The 26197-nt window shown below is 42.5% G+C and overlaps 1 protein-coding gene across 19 annotated transcripts in view, besides 1 other annotated feature; it reads left to right on the forward strand.

Annotated features, from left to right (window-relative positions):
- Positions 1–26197, forward strand: part of HECW1 (HECT, C2 and WW domain containing E3 ubiquitin protein ligase 1) — a 453355-nt gene that overhangs the window by 257280 nt on the left and 169878 nt on the right. The window contains exon 1 of one of the 19 annotated variants that reach the window (XM_011515226.4): positions 7902–8017. The exons of the other annotated variants lie outside the window; for them this stretch is intronic. Coding sequence (XP_011513528.1) covers positions 7973–8017 — 45 coding nt within the window. The 5' untranslated portion in view covers positions 7902–7972. Of the gene's footprint in view, positions 1–7901; positions 8018–26197 lie in introns of those variants that run through there. 19 annotated transcript variants of the gene reach the window in all.
- Positions 6752–7251: an enhancer, noted in NCBI's record as "H3K27ac hESC enhancer chr7:43416277-43416776 (GRCh37/hg19 assembly coordinates)". NCBI's record gives its function as "activates a minimal SCP1, AML or CMV promoter by ChIP-STARR-seq in naive H9 embryonic stem cells {active_cell/tissue: H9 hESC(naive)}" and the evidence as "EXISTENCE:reporter gene assay evidence [ECO:0000049][PMID:30033119]".

Consider the following 26197-nt stretch of genomic DNA (forward strand, 5'->3'; position numbering starts at 1 on the left):
GCAAAATCAACTAATTTACATCATTAAAGAAAAGACAAACCATCTGACAAATGGGCCAGAACCTAAAGTCAGTTTTTAGGGGGGAAAAATGCAACGGCCAATAAACACACAAAAGATGTTCCATCAAGAGAATGAGAAGACAAATTACAGACTGGAAGAATATATCTGCAAAATACATATTTGATCAAGGGCTAGTATTCACAATGTACCAAGAACTCACGAAAGTCAACAATGAGAAAGCAATCAAGCCAACTTTTAAAAATGGGCAAAACACCTGGATAGATATCTCACCAAAAATACACAAATGGAAAATTAGCATATGAAAAGATGCCCAACAATATATGTCATTAGAGAACTGCAAATTAAAACAATGAGGTACCAAAGATACCTATTAAAATAGCCAAAATCCAAACACTAACAACAAAAAATTCTGTCAAGGATATGGAGCAACAGGAACTCTCATTCATTGCTGGTGGAAATGCAAAATGGTACAGCTACTTTGGAAGACAATTTGGTTGTTACTTACAAAACTAAACATACCCTTACCATATGATTCAGCAATCTCACTCCTTGGTATTCACCCAACGGAGTTGAAAACTTATGTCCATACAAACATCTTCACATGTTTACAGCAGCTCTATCCATAATTGTCAAAACTTGGAGGCATCTTGGATGCAAGATGTCCTTTAGCAGGCAAGCAGATAAATTGTGCTACATCCAAACAATGGAATATTATTCAGTACTAAAAAAAAATGAGCTGCCAAGCTATAAAAAGACATGAGGAAATCTTAGATGCATACTACTAAGTGAAAGAAGCCAATCTGAAAGCCTACATAATTTCACAATTCATCTATATGACCTTCCAAACATATGGAGACAGTAAAAAAGATCAGTGGTTGTGAAGATTTAGCGGGGAAGGATGAATAGGAGGATCACAGAGGATTTTTAGGGCAATGATATTCTTTTTTTTTTTTTTTTTGAAATGGAGTCTTGCTCTGTCACCCAGGCTGGAGTGCAGTGGCGCAATCTCGGCCCACTGCAAGCTCCACTTCCTGGGTTCTCGCGATTCTACTGCCTCAGCCTCCCGAGTAGCTGGGACTACAGGTGCCCGCCACCACGTCTGGCTAATTTTTTGTATTTTTAGTAGAGACAGGGTTTCACCATGTTAGCCAGGATGGTCTCGATCTCCTGACCTTGTGATCCACCCGCCTCGGCCTCCCAAAGTGCTGGGATTACAGGCGTGAGCCACCACGCCTGGCCAATGAAATTCTTTAATATGATACTATGATGGTGGCTACATGTTATTATACATTTGTCAAAACCCACAGAATATACAACACTAACAGTAACCACTGATGGGAAGTATGCACTTTGGGTAATAATGATGTGCCAGGGTAGGCTCATCAAGTGTGACAAATATGCCACTCTTATGTGGAACGTTGGTAGTTGGGGAGGCTGTGCGTGTGTGGGGACAGGGGATATATGGGAATGCTGTGCTTTCTGCTCAGTTTTGCTGTGGACCTAAACCTGCTGTAAAATAAATGAAAGGCTATTTTTTTAAATGCTCCAATCAGAAAGCAAAAATTCAAAAGTTTTATGGTACCCAGGGATGATAAGAGAGTGAAAGAAGCATGTGTACACTATTGGGCCCATTTTTTTCAAGGCAGTTTAGCAAAATTTATCAAATTTATCAAAATTTATCTTGGGCATATTTGCAAAAGCTATTTGGGATATATAGACAAAATTATTCATTGCTGCATTGTGGGAACAGCAACAACAGGAAAGCCAGTGTCTCCGTTAGGGAGACTGGATGATACACTCTAACGGCAAAAGCAGCAGGGGAGCAGATTGTGATTATGGGGAAAGGTTCTCAATACATTTTTTGTTGATGGTGGATTTTGTTTTGTTTTGAGACAGAGTTTCGTTCTTGTTGCCCAGGCTAGAGTGCAATGGCACGGTCTCGGCTCACTGCAACCTCCTCCTCCCTGGTTCAAGTGATTCTCCTGCCTCAACCTCCCTAGTAGCTGAGATTACAGGTGCCCACCACCACGCCCCGCTAATTTTTTTGTATTTTTAGTAGAGATGGGATTTCACCATGTTGGCCAGTCTGGTCTTGAACTCCTGACCTCAGGAGATCTGCCCGTCTCAGCCTCCCAAAGTGCTGGGATTACAGGTGTGAGCCACCAAGCCCGGCCTCAATATGTTTTATGAAGTGCAAAAGCAAGGCTCAGAGCAGTGCCTTTAATATTACCCCATTGATGTAGTTTTTAATTAATAGTTAGAAAAATTATTTCCAGGAAAGGATAACAAGAAATGAGTAACAGTGACTACCTTTGAGGATTATGTGGGGGTGGGGTGTGCAGGATTTCACTTATCATTCTGTGCCTTTTCTTTTTTACCTGTTTATATTTACTAACAAAGGGTTATTTTCCTTTTTTTATTATTATTATACTTTAAGTTCTAGGGTACATGTGCACAACGTGCAGGTTTGTTACATATGTATACACATGTATACATGTGCCATGTTGGTGTGCTGCACCCATTAACTCGTCGTTTTCATTAGGTATATCTCCTAATGCTATCCCTCCCCGCTCCCCACTGTTTTCCTTTTTTTAGACTTGTTTATGTTTTCTAACAATAGATTTCTTTTTTAAAAAAATCACAGGAATTATCAAAATAGTGGGATTGTGGCTTTTTGTGTTTTCTCTGTTAACTATTTTAACATCTATAATTTTTTTAAATAAATTTTTTTACAAGGAAAAAGCCTTGTAAAATATTTTTAAATTTTTTTTAAATATTCCCTTTTCTCTCTTCTCATGACTGGTCTGGCTTTATCTAGATGCTCAAACTTGTAGTGTCACAATTTAGTCCTTGATGCAAAGGGAAAGAATGTTGGCATGTGCTAATATATGAGTGCTAAAACGGTTGCCAAATCCCTCCTTTTCCAGAGCAGGGGTCAGACGCTCATCAAGTGATATAGATGCCTGTTTAGTCTACCCATCAACCCCACAGCCATTCCTATGGGAATGATAAACAGAAAAGACAAAACCAATCAATACTGAAACCCATGATTTAATTAAATCCAGAGATGAAGAAAGTGCTTAGGCCAGAAATGGAGAGGAATTTCTGATGATTATAATGTCATTAAGATGCCCCAAACCTGGAGCAGGAAGAGATGGAGGCAAAGCAGACTAACGGTGCTGGGAGTCACTGCAGGCATCACAGTGAGCTCTGTGGTGCTGCCCATGCACGTTGGTGTCGTTCTGCCTTCTTCCTTTTTTTTTTTTTTTTTTTTCTTTTTGAGACAGAGTCTCCCTCTGTTGCTCAGGCTGGAGTGCAGTGGCTTGATCTGGGCTCACTGCAACCTCTGCCTCTTAGATTCAAGTGATTCTCCTACCTGAATTTTGTATTTTAGTCGAGATGGGGTTTCTCTGTTGGCCAGGCTCGTCTCAAACTCCTGATCTCAAGTGATCCTCCTGCCTTGGCTTCCCAAAGTGCTGGGATTACAGGCATGAGCCACCATGCCCGGCTCCTTTCTTTTCTTTCTTTTCCCTGTCTCGCTCTGAAAAAAGAATCTCACTGTTTTTTTTAAACTTATTTTTTTCTTTGCCTGTGCCTACAAATACAAATTTGAGTAAACTGTCCCTTCTAATGGCTGGTATAGTAGATTTACATGTTTGTTTTTTTTTAATTTTTAATTGTGGTAAAATATACATAACAAAATTTACCATCATAACCATTTTTCAGCATGTAGAGCTCAGTGACACTGTGTGCATTCACGTTGTCCAACCATCATCACCGTCTATCTCCAGGACTTTTCATCTTCCCAAACTGAAATTCTGTCCCCACTAAACACCAGCTCCTCATTCTCCCCATCCTCGGAGCCCTTGGCAGCCACCATCCTACTTCCTGTCTCTAGGAATTTGACCACACTAGGCACCTCATATAGGAGGAATCATACAGTGTTTGCCCTTTTGTGCCTGGCTTATTTCAGTGAACATAGTATCTTCAAGGTTCAACCATGTTGCCGCGTGTGCCAGAATTTCCTCCCTTTTTAAGGCTGAATAGTATTCCCTAGTATGTATATGCTCTATTCTGATTATCCATTCCTCTGTAGGAGGATCCACGGGTTGCTTGATATAGGTATTTCTTTGAGGAAACTCCACTGGTTATTTGGTCAGGAAAATTATTTGTTGTTTCATTCTTTGCATTGAAATAAGTTATCACTCATTTCATATAAAAAGTATTCTGGGGTTCAAATAAAAAGAAACACTACGAAAATTCATAGAGGTTGGCTCCTTTTGAAATAAATTCAATGTAAAGAAATTCTAGAAAATTACACCTGTTCTCTACATGATTCAAGAGAACATTGTATCTTTGAAACTTCCTGAGAGAGCAAAGAATGGTAAGAAGGACAGTAAGGAGATAATGGGTCCAACCTTTTGACCAACAGTCACAGGTATGTGACTTAGAGACCACGGGAAAAGGAATTACTGAATTAGAAGACAAACTAAAACAAAATCATCCCCAACCCAGTGGAAACAGAAGATGAAAATAGAACTTTTTAAAACCCAGAAATCTAATTTATGAACAACAGATGCACTTTGGGAGGCCGAGGCGGGCGGATCACGAGGTCAGGAGATCGAGACCATCCCGGCTAAAACGGTGAAACCCCGTCTCTACTAAAAATACAAAAAATTAGCCGGGCGCAGTGGCGGGCGCCTGTAGTCCCAGCTACTTGGGAAGCTGAGGCAGGAGAATGGCTTGAACCCGGGAGGCGGAGCTTGCAGTGAGCCGAGATCCCGCCACTGCACTCCAGCCTGGGCGACAGAGCTAGACTCCGTCTCAAAAAAAAAAAAAAAAAAAAAAAAAAATAGAGAAATATAATAACCAGTGAAAAAAAGATGAAAATATTTTTTATCTAAAAAAATACATACCTAATTAAAATTGAAATTCTTCATATTTCAGATAGCTGGAATTGATATAATAAAATATATATGTAGGTTCATAGTAGAAAATTTGTAGACACATAAATAAGAAAAAACAATAATAATCCAATACACAGCAAGCTTCTGCAACTACATAGTCCTTCTTACCATTCATTGCTCTAATAAAGTTTTAAAAATAAAATGTTCTTTTGAATCATGTTAAGAACATTGTGAAATTTCCTAAAATTTCCTTCAGTTTCTTGCATTGAATTTACTCCAAAAGGAGCCAAGGGGTTCCTGGAGGAAGAATTTTTGAACTGAAGAATGCTATAAACAAACAGGAGAAACTGTCGGACGCCTGGAAAATAGCAAAAGCCAAGAAAATTTGAATGTTCTCTTCACAGCACAAAGATGTGCTTGGTAAGATGTCTATTTAAAGGGAAAAAAAAAATAGTTCTCTACTGTACCAGTTGTCAGTGATATGTGACTATGCCAAATACAGACATTCTCAAGCACGTAAAAATAGAGAAATTGCCCACATGTCAAATATACGATTTCAGGATTGCGAAAATTGTGGATGGCAGAAACCGGTAGTGAATAAGGAAACTAATTACTTATAAAGAGATATGCTGAAATGATTGCAAGGATGTATTATTATTTTATTACTTAAATATATATTGTATGGCTTATTGCACCAATTAGCTAAATAAAAAATAATAAAGAGGTATTCTGTAACACTTGTTTTTAAAAAAGCTCCAGGCCAGGCATGGTGGCTCACCAATAATCCCAGCAGTTTGGGAGGCTGAAGTGGGCAGATCACTTGAGACCAGGAGTTCAAGGCCAGCCTGGGCAACATGGCAAAACCCTGTCTCTACAAAAACTACAAAAATTAGCCAGGCATGATAGCATGTGCCTGTAATCCCAGCTACTGGAGGGACTATGGTGAGAGGATTGCTTGAGCCCTGGAGGTCAAGGCTGCAGTGAGCCATGATCAAACCATTGTACTCCAGCCTGGGTGACAGATGAGACCCTTCTCAAAAAAAAAAAAAAAAAGGAAAAAAAGCTCTTTAAAAATCAAGACTTGCCATGGTAAAGATAACATTTGAATGAAAAAGGCAGTATAATTACTGGTTGAGGTGCATATATATAATCATATATATATATATGAAATATGTATATATATACACACATATATATACACACACTATTTTATTTTTATTTATATGAGCTTGATCATCTCCACATAACCCAATAAACCAAACATATACTCACCTATTACAATACTTAACCATGAAACACTAGAGGTTTTTAGAATTAAAATTAGGACCAAAATAAGCGTGTAAGATGCCACCAGCTCTAACATTTAAAAAGTAAAATAGTACATGTTCCTTGGGAATCCATATAAACAGAAGAAAAATGTCACCGTAATAATCTCACCACCCAACGAGCCTCAGGAACCTGCAGAAAGGAAGGGCTTTTTGATCATCTCTGACTGCAGAGCCAGCAATTAAAATAAGTATAGCAAGTCTCCCTGGGATGGGGGTAGCCAGCCAGCGTCTGGGCTATGTGGATTCTCCAGGCCATTGGACACCATGCCCTTTACTCAGTAGGTGCCCGTGAGTTGGCAAAAGTCTAGCTGATTACATCCTGGTTTTTAAATCCTAAATGGCCTCTCAATAAAAACTCTTTGTATTAACATTTCACTGAAGGATAAAAAATTTCAAATATAGCTCGGCACAGTGGCTTACACCTATAATCCCAGCACTTTGGGAGGCCTAGGCAAGTGGATCACTTGAGGTCAGGAGTTCGAGATCAGCCTGGCTGACATGGTGAAACCCCATCTCCACCAAAAATATAAAAAATTAGCTGGGCGTGGTGGCAGGCGTCTGTAATCCCAGCTACTTGGGAGGCTGAGGCAGGACAATTGCTTGAACCCAGGGGGCAGAGGTTGCAGTGAGCCGAGATCGTGCCATTGCACTCCAGCCTGGGTGACAGAGCAAGGACTCTGTCTCAAAAAAAAAAGACATTTCAAATATATAGATCTTGATTTCAGATTTGTAACTTTCAACTCCAGCATTCAATTTAGTGGTCACACTTTAGTGAAAAAAAAAGACTTTTCTTCAGGTAAAAGTCTTGAGAAAAATAAATTCTTACTTCCCAAGGATCTCACAGAGCCAACATGAGTAAAGTTAGTCTGACTTGTAAGCAGGTGAATGAATGTAGCACAGAGGCATTCGGACAAGTCAGAGATGCCTGGGACTGTGCTCTTCCCATCCCTGGCCTCACCCAACACCATGAGACCCAGAGTAGGGAGGAAGGCAGCCCAGGCCCATCTCCTCCTCCATACCAACTACCTTTTCAAGCCTGTTCTGAAGGCAGAATGTTCTACCATCAGTGCTTTTTACCCTTCTTGCTCTATGAGGACAGGGAAGTTCAGGTCGATGAACAAATGGATTAACTATGATCAACTCATTTCTTTTGCTTCAAAACACACATTAAGACTAACCCAAGGAGCAAAGCCCTCAAAATGCGCTTACTCAAGAGTTTGTGGTTCACTGTGACCTCACCCTGCCCCCTCACAATAATTAATCTCAGGTTCTAGTAGAGCATTAGATCCCACTTCTTTCAACCATCTAAACTAGGTGAAAGTGTCCCTGGATTTAAGGTGCTGTAGATTAAGACAGGACTGGTGCTTTTAGATCAGGGGTTTTCTCCGGTGGGCTGTTTCCTGAAAGAGTCCAAAAAATTAGAATCAAATCCTTGCATATGAATGCACAGAAATAACATTTTTTTTCTCTTTGTGAGTTTTTCCTATGTTACTTACAGCAAAGATGGCAGAAGCCCTTAAGTTAATGAAGTCCCCAGGCATGTTGCCAGGGTGTAAAGGCCCTTATCTGTGTGCTCTCTGCCAATGGGAAGTCGGAATTATCAAGCAGCCCTTGGATCAAAGGGAAGTCTGATCCTGGGGACTTTCTTATGCCTCCCCCAGAGCTATGGATAATTTCCCTGCCTGCATTCTTCACTGCAACTCTCTTTTATGAGAAATGGCTGCTCTGGCAGAACACAAAGATGACTGCATTTCCAAGGAGGTTAGTAGACCCTTAGCATTAATGCTCAGTTTATGGGTACAATGTAGTTATACATCCAAATTTATACATTTACACATAGTCACTAATAAATAGTTGTGTTTTAAAGAGTTGAGTTTAATTGGAAACTACTTAATTTTATTAGCCAAGTATATAATATGTATATATGTGTGTTACACTTTCAGATTTGAAAAAAAGCTTGCTTGCTTAAAATTGTCAACATTATATTTTTGTAATCTAGTTATTCTAATCTAATCATCTTCTTTGTAGACCCTTCATTTCTAGAAATTTCTAAGTCTCTTTAGTTTGCCTTTTATTAAGGACTTAGCAAATATGAGGTGATTTTGCTCTCCTGTGTACACAGTGACTACTGGATGAGGAGAGAGGAGAGGACTTGTCAGGAATAGGATTATTCAAGAGCAGGAGAATCTAACTTTTCAGAGAGCAGCCTGTAACAAAGAGCTATCTAGAACAATCATGTGGTTTATGAGCGGAGCTCTCTCAGATAACCTGCCTTAGAAAGATTCTGCATTGTCCTGTCAGACATCCCAAATACGCATGGTTAAAACCCTTGGCACTTTCGGCCAGGCATGGTGGCTCACACCTGTAATTCTAGCACTTTGGGAGGCCAAGGCGGGTGGATCACTTGAGGTCGGGAGTTTGAGACCAGCCTGGCCAACATAGTGAAACCCCATTTCTACTAAAAATACAAAAAATTAGCTGAGTGTGGTGGTGTGCACCTGTAATCCCAGCTACTCAGGAGGCTGAGGCATGAGAATAGCTTGAACCCAGGAGGCAGAGGTTGCCATGAACTGAGATTGCGCTACTGCACTCCAGCCTGGGCAACAGAGTGAGACTGTCTCAAAAAACAAAAATAAAAACAAAAGAAGGAGGCAATGTCAGGCAAGGGCAGAGCAGCAGGAATGATGGTGAAACAGACAAGACTGTCTCAAAAAACAAAATAAAAAACCCTTTGCGCTTTGAACAGGAAAGAAAATAGGGACAACCTACCTTCCAGACATAGAACATGGGGTGGTTATTGCTTATGGGGGGGCGGTGTGCCCTTGCTCACACAAGCACTGTGTTGGACTAATAGGCATAGGAAGTTAAGAGCACAACTGAAGTAAAACAAAACCCATCACCCTCACCTGGCAAAACCCCACCCTCGTTAAACTTAATTCTCTGTCCACTCTTTACTTGCATGCAGGCAGCATAAGAGTGTTCCTTTAATCTTATGACCACAGATCTCAAGCTCCCTTTAACGCTCAATCCCAGAAGCACTGCACCTCTCTGATGTGGAGAGAAGGCTGCTTTACACTTCCATTTTCCTCACACCTAGAGTGCCCTTCCCTCTCTCACTGAGAAATGAAGGCAATCAGAACACAGCCAGCCTGCCTGCACACACACTCCCATGCTGTGCCTCCTTCCAGTGACAACTGTCTCAGGCCAGCCTCTCCATTTGCACATGGGATCCCATCCCATCTTGTCTTTATGCAGCCTTGATCCTGAAAGTAGCTCCTCCTTCTCCTGCATAGTCCACTGTCCTCTCCGCTCAATCACTTCCATCCCATTACATAACGATTCCACTCAGAACTCTCCAGTGGCTTTTTCACCATCATTCCTGCTGCTCTGCCCTTGCCTGACACTGCCTCATTCTTTCCACCTAATTCCAGCCTCGAGAGTCCTCTTTCTAATCCTTGAATACAGCAAGATGGTTCTTCCCTCAGGGCCCTTGCACTTCAGGTTTCTCTGCTTGGGACAGTTCCTCCAAATAAATAATTCACTCCCTCCCCCCATTTAGATCGTTTTCTCAAATGTCCCCTCCTGGGAGAGGCCTTACATCACCACCCTATCTAAACTATTCTCCACACAGCTCTTTATTTTCTCCAATCACTATTTTCATTCATGGTGCTCGTGTTGTAATTGTGTTTGCCTCCCTCCTAAAGGGCAGCCTCCAGGGGCAGAGATGTACCTGCCTGTCCTCTTCAGAGCTGTTCCTTATCACCCACCAGAGCAGTACCTGGCACACAGCAGACGGCCCATAAAACATTTGTATCCAACAAACATGGGTTATTCCCTGGCTCAGCCACTTAATAACTTGGTGGCCTTGGGCCTCAATTTCTCTTTTGTTGAGACAAGGTCTCACTCTGTAGCCCAGGCTAGAATTCAGTGGTGTTATCAGGTTCACTGCAACTTTGACCTCCTGTGCTCAAGCAATCCCCCTGCCTCAGCCTCCTGAGTAGCTAGGACTACAGGCACATGCCACCACACCTGGCTAATATTTTTAAAAATTTTTAAATTTTTGTAGAGATGGAGTCTTGCTTTGTTGCCCACGCTGGTCTCAAACTCCTGGGCTCAAGCGATTCTCCTGTCTTGTCCTCCCAAAGTGCTGGGATTACAGGAATGAGCCACTGTGCCCAGCCTCTTTGAGTTTCTTTTGCTCAACATTACTTTTGTAGGATTAATCCATATCGTGCTGTAGTTTTTCATTCTTTTGTGTGACTGTACCAGTTTATTCTACTGTTGATGGACATTTGGGTTTAGTGTTGCTGCTATGAATATTTTTATACATTTTTTTGGTGAATGTATGTGATTTTTTCCCCCTAGATGAAGTTTTGCTCTTGTTACCTAGGCTAAGGTGCAATGGTGAGATCTTGGCTCACTGCAACCTCCATCTCCTGGGTTCAAGCGATTCTCCTGCCTCAGCCTCCAAGTAGCTGGGATTACAGGCACCTACCACCACACTCGGGTAATTTTTTTGTATTTTTAGTAGAGACAGGGTTTCACCATGTTGGCCAGGTTGATCTCAAACTCCTGACCTCAGGTGATCCACCTGCCTCGGCCTCCTGAAGTGCTGGGATTACAGGCATGAGCCACCAGGCCTGGCCAATATATGTAACTTTTGATGGGTATATAATTAGGGTGAAATTATTAGGTCATGGTTTATGCATATGATAATTTTTAGTAGATTCTGCTAAAGTTTTACAAAGTGGTTTTACAAATTTACACTTCCACCAGCAGTGTATGAGAGCTCCAGTTGTTCCACATCCTTGCTAACACTTGATATTGTCTTTTTATTTTTAGTTGTGAAAGGGTATGTAGTAGTATTGCAGTGTAGCTTTATTTGTATCTTCCTGATGATTAATGAAGTGAACATTTTTTCATGTTAGGGACCCCAGGTTTATTGGCCATTGGATTCCTGCTTTTGTGAAGAGTTTGCAAAATCTTTTGTCCTCTTTTCCCATTGGGCTGTTTACTTTTTTCATGCTAATTTGTAGTTCTTTATATATTCTGGATATAGTTCTTTGTTATATATCTTCTACCTGTGGATGGCATTTTAGAATCTTGGTGCTGTGGTGAATTAAAGTTCTTACTTTTATTTATTTATTTACTTCTTGGAGGCAAGAGTCTTGCTCTGTTACCAAAGCTGGAGGGCAATGGCTTGATCACAGCTCACTGCAGCCTTGAACTCCTGGGCTCAAGCAATTCTCCCACCTTTGCCTCCTGAGTAGCTAGGACTACAGGCACATGCTACCATGCATGGCTAATTTTTTTTTTTTTTTTTTGAGATGGAGTCTTGCTCTGTCACCTAGGCTGGAGTGCAGTGGTGCGATATCCGCTCACTGCAACCTCCACCTCCCGGGTGATTCTCCTGTCTCCTGTCTCGACCTCTCAAGTAACCAATTCTCTCTCCTGTCTCAACCTCCCAAGTAGCTGGGATTACAGGCATGTGCCACCACACCCAGCTAATTTTTGTATTTTCAGTAGAGACAGAGTTTCACCATGTTGGCTAGGCTGGTCGCAAACTCTCGACCTCAGGTGATCTGCCTGCCTTGGCCTCACAAAGTGCTGGGATTATAGGTGTGAGCCACCACACCTGGCTGATAATTTTTTAAAAATTTTTTTAGAAATGGGGTTTCACTGTGTTGCCCAGGCTGGTCTCAAACTCCTGGCCTCAAGCAGTCCTCCTGCCTTGGCCTCCCAGAGTGCTCTGATTACAGGTGTGAGTCACCACACCCAGCTGAGCCTCAAATTCTGGATTTATAATGATATGGATAGAAGATAAAAATAGAAGCCCCTCACGCCTGTAGTCCCAGCACTTTGGGAGGCCAAGGCAGATGGATCACGAGGTCAGGAGAGCGAAACCATCCTGGCTAACATGGTGAAACCCCGTCTCTACTAGAAAATACAAAAAATTAGCTGGGCATGGTGGTGGGGGCCTGTAGTCCCAGCTGCTCGGGAGGCTGAGGCAGGAGAATGGCGTGAACCCAGGAGGCGGAGCTTGCAGTGAGCCGAGATCGCGCCACTGCACTCCAGCCTGGGCGACAGAGCGAGACTCCGTCTCAAAAAAGAAAAAAAAAAAAAATAGAAGCCCCTTCAGAGGACTGTGGAAAGTGTGTCTGAGGATGCGGTGAAGCAATGCCTGTGATGCTCTCAGCACTTGCCCCACATGGGGTAACTACCCAGTAAAAGTTAATTAGTACTGTTTTGTGAGCTTTTCTATAATGTTTCTCTCTGGGACTACTCCAGCTCTCTGGTTACAAAATACATAGATTTCAACATCATAGAGAAAATGCATATTTGGACAACATATACAAAACTGGAAAGTGCAAAAAATAACGAGTTACTGCCTATAAGCAGGAGCTTAATCCCTCATTCAAGATGTCTCTTTTAAAGGAATTTACTGACCCTAGAATAGTATCTGTAAGATGAATAGACAGTGGATCTATCCCACCAGATGGAAGGATAGATGTGGGGGGAGGGGTTGGATAAATGAGTGAACTGAGTGGATGGATTGCACATAGTTCAAAATGATGACTGAAATGTGGATTTATTATCTTACTTTAAGTTCTGGGATACATGTGCTAAACATGCAGGTTTGTTACATAGGTATACATGTGCCATGGTGGATTGCTGCACCCATCAACCCGTCATCTAGGTTTTAAGCCCCACATGCATTAGGGGTTTGTCCTAATGCTCTCCCTCCCCTTGTCCCCCACCACCCAACAGGCCCCAGTGTGTGATGTTCCCTTCCCTGTGTCCATGTGTTCTCATTTTTCAACTCCCACTTATGAGTGAGAACATGTGGTGTTTGGTTTTCTGTTCCTGTGTTAGTTTACTGAGAACAATGGCTTCTGGCTTCATCCACGTACCTGCAAAGGACATGAACTCATTATTTTTTTATGGCAGCATAGTATTCCATGGTGTATGTGTGCCACATTTTCTTTATCCAGTCTATCATTGATGGGTATTCGGGTTGGTTCCAAGTCTTTGCTATTGTAAATCGTGCTACAATAAACATATGTGTGCATGTGTCTTTATAGTAGCATGATTTATGATCCTTTGGGTATATACCCAGTAATGGGATTGCTGAGTCAAATGGTATTTCTGGTTCTAGATCCTTGAGGAATTGCCACACTGTCTTCCACAATGGTTGAACTAATTTACACTCCCACCAATAGTGTAAAAATATTCCTGTTTCTCCACAGCCTCGCCAGCATCTGTTGTTTCCTGACTTTTTAATAATTGCCATTCTAACTGGCGTGAAATGGCATCTCATTGTGGTTTTGATTTGCATTTCTCTAATGACCAGTGATGATGAGCTTTTTTACATATGTTTATTGGCCACATAAATACCTTCTTTTGAGAAGCATCTGTTCATATCCTTTGCCCACTTTTTGATAGGGTTATTTTCTTATAAATTTGTTCAAGTTCCTTGTAGATTCTGGATATTAGCAAATATTTCTAAGAAAATGCAGTTGGCCCTTGAACAACACAGGAGTTTAGGGCTTCCAATCCCCCATGCAGTCAAACATTTGTGTATAACTTTTGACTCCCCCAAAACTTAACCACTAACACCCTGTTGTTAACTAGAAGCCTTGCCAGTAACAGTTGATTAACATATTTTATATGTTATTTGTATTATATACCATATTCTTACAATAAAGTAAGCTAGAGAAAAAATATTAAGAAAGTCATAAGGAAGAGAAAATATATTTGCTAGTCATTAAGTGGAAGTGGATCATCATAAAGGTTTTCATCCTTGTCATTACATTGAGTAGACTGAGGAGGAGGAGGAGGAAGAGGAGGAGTTGGTCTTGCTGTCTCTGAGTTGGTGCTTTGTCTGCAAGTTTTTTCAAATTGTTGCAAACTCCAACATGTTTTCAAATATGTGTACTGAAAAAATTCATGTGTAAGTAGACTCACACAGTTCAAACCCATGTTGTTCAAGAGTCAACTGTAATTTGTTGAGAATTACTACCGGTTACTTCTAGAGCACAAGTGAGTGTTGTCTTGGGGTTCTCCACGTACCCCCTGGAAATGCAGAAGAAGGTAGGTGTGAAGTTCTTGGATGCTGGCCAGTATTTAATGAAAGATTAATTCACTCATCCCATGATCCAGCAACCCATGGGTAGCAGGAAGCCCCAGGAACACCTCTGGAGGGAATGTGGCAGCTGCTGCAGGAAGACAGAGCCCCAAGATGGCGGTGTGCCTGGGGCTGGCAGCAAGCTCACCCTTGGACCTTAGAGAGCTTTTCCTAAGTATCCATGTGGCATGTCCATAGGAAAAAAGATGTTACATTAGCAAGAAAAAAATACGTCTTTGCCTAAAACTTAAACATATTTTTAGATGGGAATACAACTTAGAAATTTTAAAGCAAGTCAGTGAGGGGGAAAACGTTTGCCTTTAAAAAAAATCATTTTCTAGGCATCTTTTCATTCAGTGAGGAGTAAATATTATCATGTTTTTGCCATTACACTCACATGAATGAGCCATGTCCATTCTTCTTTGGATTATCCCTCAAAATTGCTCATCTATTCCGTGAGAGGGAGTGGGTGGCTGGAAAGAGCTCTATGCAAAATGCAGCCCTTGTCTTCACTAAGCAGACTGTCTGACCCAGATGGAACAGCAACCGACACACTTCCTATGATTTCATTTACCCAAAGGCTTTGCAGTCGTTTGGTTTAATCGCTATTTTAAAAAGTAGAATCAAAGCAGTTTCTCCCTCCAACCTCACATGCTTAGATGAAAAGAGCTAACTCTTGTCACTCCTGCATCCTTAACTAGACTTGGTGATAAAGGACAAAACGCAGTTCTGGAAGGACAATAATTACAAGGAGTTTCATAATTTGTAAGAAAAAGATCCTGAATTCAAAGAAACGGGTTCAGCCAAAGGGGCATCTCTCTTTCCCTCAACACCCTCTTCCAATCGGTCACCAAGTTCTATCCATTTTATCACTTGGCAGTCTCCCCTCTCCCCTCCCCTCCCCTCTCCCCACCCCTCCCCTCTCCCCTCCCCTTCCCTCTCCCCTCCCCTCCCCTCTCCCCTCCCCTCCCCTCTCCCCTCCCCTCCCCTCTCCCCTCCCCTCCTGCGTACTGACAGACAGGGTTTGTGTCAGTGTCACTCAGACACTGTTGCAGCTGCCTCCAAATTAGTCTCTCTGCCTCTGTCTTCTGCCCTCTAATTTTGTGATTCACATCCTTGAGTATACACTGGACTCACCTGGGAGCCTTAAAGAGGACAGATGCCCAAGTCCCACCCACCTCCCCACCCCCAGTCTGACTCACATGGTCTTGGTAAAGCCTGGGGCAGCTCCTACACCATGGCAGAGCCGTCCCTCAGAGAGCTGGGGTAAGGGGCTGATCTCCATGAGTTCATGTTGCCCTTGCTAACAGAAGAGCAAGGCCAATTACACAGTTCATGGTTTCCAGAAGATGAAGACCAGCCATAGTTTCCCAGGAGAAATACAACTGTTGTTGGTTCTACAATCAGGCAGATATTTCTCCCAAGGCAAAAGAATATGTTGAAAATGAGCTTTGGATCATGAAGGAAATTGCTTGAAGAAGGTTGTATTCATTTCCTATTTTGTTGTGTTACAAATTATCACAAAGTTAGCTCGTGGGTCTATAGGTCAGAAGTCCTGGACAGCATGGCTGGATTCTCTGCTCAGTCTATTGCAAGGTAAAATACCTGAAATCAATGTCAGCCAGGCTGAGTTCTCATCTGGAAGTTCTGTGGAAAAGCCTACTTTCAAGCTCATTCTTGTTGTTGGCAGAATTCAGTTCCTTGTGGTTAGGACAGAAGTGCCTGTTTCCTGTTTCCTTGCTGACTCAGCCAGGGGCCAACCTGGGTCCTTCATGCCGCCCACATTCCTTACCACGTGGTCCCCTCCATCTTCCAGCCTGCAATGGTGTGTCAAACCCTTCTCACCTTGAATCTTTGACTTCCTCTCTCTCTTTGACCTCTAGGCCCAGATTGAAAGAATTTGTGTGATTCAGTCAGCCCCTTATAATGTCCCTTTGTTAAAGTCAGCTATCCTGATTCCAGAGTAATTCACAGTCCCTGAGCACATACACCACAGAGGCAGGAAATCTTGGGGCCCATCTTAGAATTCTGCCTGCTGCAAAGGCTCAGAAGGGTCCCCCTAGTCATCCTGGTATTTGGAGGTTGAAGGTGGAGGAGGAAAGAGAAGAGCCAAGCCATCCCGACTCAGCCCAGAGTTTCTAACTACCCACATGATACAGAAACCCACTCCCAGGGATGTGCATGAGCCCTGAAGAAGCAGTGCTGCCCCAGCTCAAACAACTTACCCTACATGAGCTGCCAACACTTGCCCCTAGATCCAGCGTGATGCCAAAGCAATCAGGGAGATGTTCCTGCCCCCCCTGCATGTTTCTGCTGTCTTCTAATTAAACCCTTCCAGAAATTCTGCCCCACCCACTTCCCCACCAGCTTCAGCTGTGTCACCTATCATCTCAAGTTGTAAGCCCTCATCTCAGGTCCATGGACTCTCAAATCAGCTCAGATGAGGGAGGAATGTGTCCATCAGTTCCCTCATTTGGGCCAGCTGAAGGGTGTAGAAGCTAACAGAAGCTCACCGCACTGTGCTTTTATTTTTTATTTCACATAAGGACAGGTTTTGTTTACAAAATAATTAAAATAGCAGCTTGACATGAATTCCTTAGAAAACAGGATAGAAACATAAGGCCAAGACTACCCACATATTAAGTCAATCCAGATGAGTGTGGCATGCCAGGCAACGCATTTGTTTTCCTGAGGTGTGTATTTCAAATAGAGTCTGGATGGGCAGAAACATGATCCAGCCATTTAGAAGGTACTGAGGCAGCTTCCAGAACTGTGTTTTGGTCCCATCTTTTCCTCACAGCAGCTCTTTCTTGTCATGAAACCATCAGCCCTCATTCTCCCACTCCCTTTCCATCTCTCCCCACCACCAATCCCATTGTTCTCCCTCCCCTCCTCACACAGCCCCCAGCCAGCCCCTTCCCTTGGGCTGGCTTTGAATGGATCGAGGTTATGGAAACGGATTCATCTTCACTCTTCCTGTTCTACCTTTTTCTAAGTCTTAGAGGATCCAGGTCTTTCTCTGTGGTCTTTATTCACCAAAACTACTACAGTGTTGGTGTCTTTCTGATTAAAGGACTCAGGTTCCTCAAGTTTGAAGGAGAAAGTAAGTTTTAAATACTTTTTACAAAGGAAACTTTCCTTCTTGCTTCTGCCTGTATGTTTATCTAATTCCATAACCAACTAGAGAAACAGGACCATCCATCTTCAGGTCTTTTACAGACTTGTAGACATGCAGAAAATGCTAACAGCAGCAAGACATTTACATAGGAAGCCTTTTTAAAGGATATAAATTACCATACTGATAACTCATAGGTGTTAGACACAGACCAATGCTTTTTGTTGGTTTTCAGCTTATGGTATATTTATAACTCTTCTAAGCTGGACCAAATGATCTAACAAAGGGCAACAGATTTCTCCTCCACAGTGAATGGAGGGTTCAGGATTCTGGGCTCTGGCCCCGATTTGTCTGGTGTGACCAGTTATGTGACCTCGTGGGCCCCTTGATTGACTAGCTTATGCTTCACGTTTTTCATCTATAAAGTAAGGAATCAGATATTAGATAATCTGCTAACATAATTCTTAAGATAGAAGTCAGAGGTTAAAAAACAAATACAATATAAATAACAACATTAGCCTGATTTAGAACATGTATTATGTGACACTTTTATACACATTATGCCATTCCGTTCTCAGGGGAACTCAGTGAGATACGTTTTATTATGATCTCCATTTGATGCAAAAGAAAACTGAGCATTAGAGCAATTGATTGCCTCACCCTAACACAGACAGAGGAGGAGCTGGCAGAGAAAGGGACATGCTGGCTCCAGCCTGGCTGCCTCTTCACACCATATTGTACACCTGCCTGTGACCACCTCCGTAAATGCTCCCAACCATCCATCCACTCCACATCCAGGGAATTCAACATGCATTCCTGAATTATTTATCTCTTTGTAAAGAAGGAATAAAACATGACTTGGTTATTATGCAATACAATAATGGCCAACATCACATTTGTAGGTCAAATGTTCAGGACAAGAACTGCAAATTCAAAAGCTTCCAGGGAGCCAGGTCATTATCACATGTCATCAGATCTAAAATGCCATGGACTTTCAGACCAACCATTGATTTTCATATTGCCAAGCTAGAAAAACTTCCTAATTTTAATTACAAGACTTATGAGTGGTGTACTGCATAATGATTATCAAACGTGAAGCAGTGGGTGCTTGGAATGAAAGAAGCAGTCACAGGACACCTGGGGATGTGTGATGCTTCTGAGGAGGATACTGTTTCTCAGCCCCAGGGTGTTACTGCTGGATATTCTGGGTTTTTTTGTTTTGTTTTGTTTTTGAGACTAGCCCAGGCTGGAGTGCAGTGGCATAATCTCAGCTCACTGAAACCTCTGCCTCCTGGGCTCAAGCAATTCTCATGCCTCAGCCCCTCGAGTAGCTGGGATTACAGGTGTGTGCCACCATGCCCAGCTGAAACACTCTGTGAGCCAAAGAAAACCCCAACAGTTTGCCATGCAGCCCACTGCCCAGCCTTACCTGTGCCAGTGGGTGCCTCTTGATGAGTTTGAACCAGGTAAGAATGATTGGCCTACAGAGGGTGGGATGATGACCCCTTCACAGGCCGAGGGGACAGCTGGCTGGGTAATGGTCATCCAGACAAGAAAGGAGTGGGGCCTGGACCAAGGTGCCAGTGATGGGGATGCAAAGAAGCAGGTCATTGTTTCTAGTGGAAGATGCAGGCCCAAGCCCTGAAAACAAAAGCCTGTGTGGCCAAGGGGTCGCCAGAATCTAATTCTCACGCAAGTCAGGGAAAGACAGTTTTGAGGGTAGGTGAGGTTTAGTTAGAGACAACTTTAAGATGTCTATCTTTCCATTACCATTTAAGAGATGTAGACCCTTGAGAGTGGTGTTTCTCAAAGTGTGGTCCCTCCACCGCCAGCGTCAGCGTCACCTGGGAACTTGTTAGCAATTCAGACTGCTGGAGCCGTCCCCAGACTTACAAAATCAGTCCTTCTGGGGGTGGGCCCAGCAATGTGTGTTTTATCAAGCCCTGTAGGCGATTCTGATGCATGCTAAAGTTGGAGAACCTCTGCACTAGAGCAGATGCCACTCAATTATTTTTTAGGACTCAGTACAATGTATGTCCTCACTTTTAGAACAGTCTGCACTACACAAGAAGCTATGTTAGAGAAGAATCACTTTACACCCTAAGAACCGTCAGGGAAAATCTACTATTGGATTAATCTCAGCTAGCATTTTCATTTGCACAGTGCTTCTTACACATTCTCATCACATTGTTGTTGCTGTTGTTGTTGTTGTTGTTGTTGTTGTCGTTGTTTTAAAGAGACAGGATCTCATTCTGTCACCCAGGCTGGAGTGCAGTGGTGTGATCATGGCTCATTGCAGCCTTGAACTCCTGGGCTCAAGGGATCCTCCTACCTCAGCCTCCCAAGTAACTGGGACTACAGGTGTGCACCACCATGCCTGACTAAATTTTTGTAGAGAAAGAGTCTCACAATGTTGCTCAGGCTGATTTTGAACTCCTGGCCTCAAGTGATCCTTCCACTTTGGCCTCCCAAAGCGCTGAGATTACAGGTGTGAGCCACCCACCTGGCCCCCTCATTATTTTTAGTAAGCTAAAAGCAGCAGATCTTTGCCTGAAGGAGATGTATTCCTGGTGCTAAAATCTTGCAGGCCTGTGTGGTCAAAAGCAATCAGAGTAAAGAAAATCATTCCTAATTAACTCATTATTTCCAATTCGCACCATGAAAGCTATAGGATAAATGCCTCATTTTTCCAACCCCTCTCTTTTTCCTCGTAGTGATTAGCATAAGAGCCCTGAAATTGAGGACCCTGTGCCTTGTCTTCAAGGTGGTAAAGAAAGCAGGAGCTGTGCAGACTGGAAGCTGGCTTGGTGATGGTGGCATCAGAAAGCAAAGGGAGGCCACGCATGGTGGCTCATGCCTGGAATCTCAGCACATGGGAGACCAAAGCAAGAGGATCACTGGAGCCCAGAAATTCCAGACCAGCCTGGGCAACATAGTGAGACCCCGTTCCTACAAAAAAATTTTTTTAATTTGCCAGGCATGGTGGTGCACATCTGTAGTCCCAGCTACCCAGGAGTCTGAGGTGGGAGGACCACTTGAGTCTAGGAAGTCAAAGCTGCAGTGAGCTATGATGGTGCTACTGCATCCAGCCTGGGTGGCACAGCAAGCAACTCTTAAAAAAAAAAACAAAAAAAAAACAGCAGAGTTGTGGAGGCAGAATATGAACAAAATATGAGCAAAAGAGATGCAAGCAGCCAGGCTAGATCTGAGGAAATGACCCCAGGGGGTTAACAGACTCTATGGAGTTGGGGTAGTGAGTTCTGAAACTCTTGTTTTAAGTCTTTCAGACCAAATATTGATTCATCTCAAGTGAATTTTGTGAAGTTGTGGCAGGCCAGGTCTCACTAACACAGGCCTCCGTTACAACTGTCCCAGCACTGACTGAGGAGCTAGGTTAAACATTAAAAGCTGATTGAGCCAGTGCCCTTATACAATGGCTGGAATGTAACAAAGAGCCCACCAAGAGTTTTGCCTAGGCTTTTCCTGGGCCTTGAAGCATGACAAGATAAGGAGGGAATTCTTAACAGGACCCTTTTAGAATTAAACAAGTTTTATTGGGGGTCTGAAAAAACTCCCCAGGCCTCCACAAACAAGTTTATTGGGGTCTAAAGGAACTCCCCAAACCTTTAGAATTTGGCAGGAGACAAGATAAGGGTAATCATCCTAGCACCTAGACCCATTTAAATTAAATAAACTTACTGAGGCTCCAGAAGAAGGTCTTCAGGACTCAGACCTTAGTCATAGATTAAAAGAAGTTAATCACTTACATCTTTAGGTGAATGCACACTTACACGTAGACATATAGCTTAGAAGGTATGTAAGTTCTGGAAAACTTTGTAATTTTGAGTTGGTCTGGTGATAATCTCTATATCTTCTCCCTGTAGCTGGTTATAGAAATGAAAACTCTCTTCCTCCCCAGTTCATCTGTATCTCATTATTGGGCCACGAGAAATAGCAGCCTGACCCTCAGTTTGGTCCGGGAACAAAGTCATTGAATTGTTCTTAGCTCAGCTTTCACATTTGTAAGCAGGAGTGGGAGTGAATGATACCTAATTCTTAAACAGTTAAAATAGTGCGTATGGAAGAACTGGCTCTGTGCCACTCACCTGTGTTGCTTTCCCCAGCCCCTTTGTTGGGACTTCTTAGTCTTTATCTCAAGTGTCCCTGAGGTTGGGGAGATTTCCTTGGGATTCAGTTGGCTTATGTTTCTTTTGTTTAGGCCCCTAAAGTTGGCTTTGCCCTTTCAGTTTACAGGTCTTTCTGTTGGAGAACTTGAAATGTGCTGCCTCCAACAGCAAGCAGTTAGAATGACAGTCATATAATGAGGGTCTAATGAGGGAAATGCACTCAGCAGTGCTCTGTAAACGTGGGTAAGGTGTGTTTACTTATCTACCATTTACTTGTTTGAACATCTCAGAGATTTGGAGGTGGAAAAGGAACTTGGGCCTTTGGTTGGTTTGCTTTTTAGTTTTGTTTCTTGCTCTTTTAAGGTGGCTTTGAGGCCTATCTGATTATTTAATAGACTTTGTCTTGGAGGTAAAAGATACTGAACTTTAGAGGAATCCCTAGATCTCTGATGCAAAGTGGAACTCGTAATTCCCTACTTTCAGCTGCCAATACACCACAGCTTACATATTATGATAATGTAATGATATTTTCACCTCATTTTTAGGTTCCATTATTATTATGGAGCCTTATACTTTTCATTTATAGGCAAATCAAAGTTTTCTGGGCCAGATGAATAAGACTCAGTGACATAATGAATTTTAATCTCTGCCTCATTGTCAATTTAATTGTTCTATAACTAAAACAAACCTTGTCAGCATGTTTAGGGGAAATAATTCTGTAATTATTTGAGAATAATCGTGGGTATGTAAATGGAGTTATCACATCAGAATTGAGCATAATGTGGCCACACTCCTATTGGAAATGCCATATGCACTAAAGGGAGCAGCTCCAGCTTTTACCCAAAGGAAGTAAACCCAGGTCTGGGCCATTCCAAGAGGCAGCTTAGAAAGTTCTTCGAAATCTCCTGCTTTACCTTCCAAATACATGCTCATTTGGCATTCAGCTTTAGGTTTCTTCATATTTGTTTTTAAAATAAAGACAATTTAACCCAAAATTTTGGGTAAAATGATGTTCCCAGGCAGGCACCCTTGCCCTTGGGCATAGCTGCTTACCTCTGGGAACAGAAGGGGCCTGTATGAGAAGCCCTGATGTCTTGGGAGGCTGGAAGACCTGGGATATAGGTCAGCACACATATATGACTGTGTGATTAGATGCTGCTGTGTATTTTTAGCAAACCACCTCATCTTTCATGCAGTGATACTGTGCAAAGAAAGGGTAAAATTTGAATAACATGCTGGAGACTAAAGGCCGAGGGAGCCCTGTCAACTGAGCTATAGTCTCCGGACTGCTGAAACAGAAGATCCCCTGCCAGGGTGAAAAGAGCTGATCTTCACACTCTTTTGCTGAATTGCAGTTTTAGGGGTGTGCAACAGTGGTGTGAATTCATATTTACAACTTTTCAAAAGGCAATTGTAGAGAGAAAATGAGAATGAGAGTAGGAGAGAAAGACATCTGAATTAACCTCAAAGCTCTTAATTTAACTCCAAGAGCTTCTCAATACCCTGCAGAATCTTCTACACCCCACAACAGATTCAGTTTGGAATCTGTTAAACCATTTGCCAAGTATGCTCTGTTGTGGAAACATTTGGGTGCAAGACACACACAGTGAAACTGCCAGAGCTTCAACAGAGAGAGGGGGGGCAACAGGACCCAGCACCAAGCAGTTAGAATGGTAGTCAGGCATCAGACAAGCCACAGAGCAAAGGGAGCTTGTCAGCCCTGAGAAGACCAGCCATGTCCCTGGCAGGCCTGCAGCCTCAGGTTGCTCCAGGGTGAAACTATTTGGGCTGAGTCTTCACATCATTTTCACAGTCAATAAACTGTAAAGAGTCTGTCTGTGAGTATAGCATATTTCTCAACGTCAAACATGCTTCTGCAACGCATCTCGAGTGAGAAGTCAGGTTGTCAAACCTTCCTAAGACTGGGCAAACATTTTTACTTCCTGGAAAATGTTTATTATGGCTACCATTCCCTCCATTTTTGTATCATCAGTGTGGTGCTTAGATGACTTTGTAAATGATGTTAGTGAAAAGCCAAGAATTTAGGTGGGATTTTATGGAGACTTAAATGATGTGTCTCCTCACTGAGCTTAGTAGCTTTTGGAAAACATACTCTTTTTTCTTCTTCTTTTTTTTTTTTCATCTACAGACCTGTTTTTGATGCAATAAAGATGAAGAGGCTTCTTTGTAAATACTATGAATGCCAGCAGAGGAGTATTTAAATATGAAGAACCAAAATATGTATGCTTTAAAAAGGAAGGAATAAATGTACCATCCTTTGTTATCATTGCATGTTTGAGCTCATTTCAGCTTAGCATGAAATACGCCATTTAATCCTATACTTTTAAAAAATATACATTGGAATGCACATACTCTAGACTTACGATTCTATAAACTATAATTATTAAAATTATAGTTTCTATTGTTCCCCCAAAGAACTTTTATTCTTAGAAAGAGACAAATTTGGGGTGGACATTTTTAAATTAGAATTAGGAGCCAGAGGCTTTAGCCATTGATTGTTAATTGTCCTGGTGGTGCAGTATAGCACTGTGAGGAGGGGTGGTCAGCATGTGGAGGTCTCCCACAGCCATGTCCAGGCACAGGCTTGCAAGAGAAGAAAAGTCCACAACACTAAGGAATTTGGAAGCCCTGATTATGCCATGAGGACTGGCCACCTTCAGAGTTAAGAAAAGCATGGTCTAGCCTGAGGATGTGGTCTCTGAACTGATGGCTGATCTCCATTTCTTGGTGTCAGCCATTGATGGGAATAACAGACATAAAGGAGGAGGGAGAAGGCCCTCTGATGTGAAGAAGGCTAATTGTTGTCAAAATGCCAGGGATTTATTCTAGGTCCCATTGCTCCATGCATAGAAAGCCAATCACTGAGACAATGAGTATTGCCAGGAAAGAAGGCTTTTTATTTGGGTGATGTTAACTGGGAGAATAAGAGTTAAGTTTCAAATCCATCTCCTTGAGCAACTAAAATTGGGGTTTATATATCAGGGAAGGAATGTAAAACAGGAACAAAGGAGGAGTCTAAGGAACTAAGGAAGATGAATAAGGGGTATGGCATCCAATGGTCTAGATCTGGGCATCTGGTGAGTTTCAGTCCCTCACCTGAGAGTCAGTTTCCTGAGGAAGGAATTCCAATGAGACTGTAACTGCCCAAAGGGTTCACCTTGCCCACTGTCTAGACAGAGCCGATTCATCAAGACAGGGGAATTGCAATAGAGAAAGAGTAATTCATGCAGAGCCGGCTGTGCTGTGCGGGAGACCGGAGTTTATTATTACTCAAATCCATCTCCCGGAGCATTCAGGGGACAGAGTTTTTAACGATAACTTGGTGGGGCAGGGTGGAGTAGTGGGTTGGAGGGGGTGGAAGCTAGTGAGCCAGGAATGCTGATTGGTCAGAGATGAAATCATAGGGAGTCGGAGCTGTCTTCTTGCAGTGGGTCAGTTCCTGGGTGGGGGCCACAAAATCAGACTAGCCAGTTTGTTGATCTTGTGGTGCCAGCTGATCCATCAAGTGCAGGGTCTATGAAATATCTCAAACACTGATCTCAGGAGCAATTTAGGGAGGGCCAGAATCTTGTAGCCTCCAGCTGCATGACTCCTAAACCATAATTTCTAATCTTGCAGCTAACGTTAGTCCTACAAAGACAATCTAGTCTCCAGGCAAGAAGGAGATCTGCTTTGGGAAAGGGCTTTTACTGTCTTTGTTTAAACTGTAAACTACAAACTAAGTTTCTCCTAAAGTTAGTTCAGCCTATGCCCAGGAATGAACAAGGACAGCTTGGAGGTTAGAAGCAAGATGGAGTCAGTTAAGTTAGATCCCTTTCACTGTCTCAGCCATAATTTTGCAAAGGCAGCTTTAAGACAAATGTAAGTTTCAAGTTTTCATAACACCTCAGGACCTATGAGAGTTTTGACTCACCAATCCTGGCCATGTTTTACTCTGATTCTTATCAAATGAGACTCTAAGGGACAGACATGTGTCAAAGAATTTGACAATCTCTTATCTGGCCTGGTGCCGAGCCCCATTCCGTATGTCACTCCACTGGTTGGCTCCCTCTGCTGAACAGCCCAGGATCCCTGAGATGCACATCACATTTGGGCTTCAGGGCAGTCATACCAAGATTTGTCTACAAGCAGCAGCCAAGCTCACAGGCTCACCAGGGGCACCTGCTTCAGTGTGAAAAGATGAATAATAATCCCTTTGTACTCCCCTTGCCTGAAGCTGTGAGCCCTGTGATGCCCAGTCATTACTCCCAGTCTCATATCAGGCAGGTTGATGTGAATATCCAATCACAACCTATACAGCATCAAGAATACTAAGAGAAGAAAGAAAAAGACTGAACCCACACAATCTACAAATAGTGAGACTCTGAGCAAGAGATTATGGATATTTTCATTTTTCTCTTCCTAGTACAGATTACCTTCTAAAAAATGGACACTGTGGATTTGCTTAATACCCAGAGTTTTAAAATTATTTTCTGCAAACATACAACACATGCAAAGGCAAATAGGAAGAGTCATTCTGCCTTCAAATACTCAAAATCATTTCTGAATAAAAC

This window comes from Homo sapiens, chromosome 7 (assembly GCF_000001405.40).
Source record: "Homo sapiens chromosome 7, GRCh38.p14 Primary Assembly".
Lineage (NCBI taxonomy): Eukaryota > Metazoa > Chordata > Mammalia > Primates > Hominidae > Homo > Homo sapiens.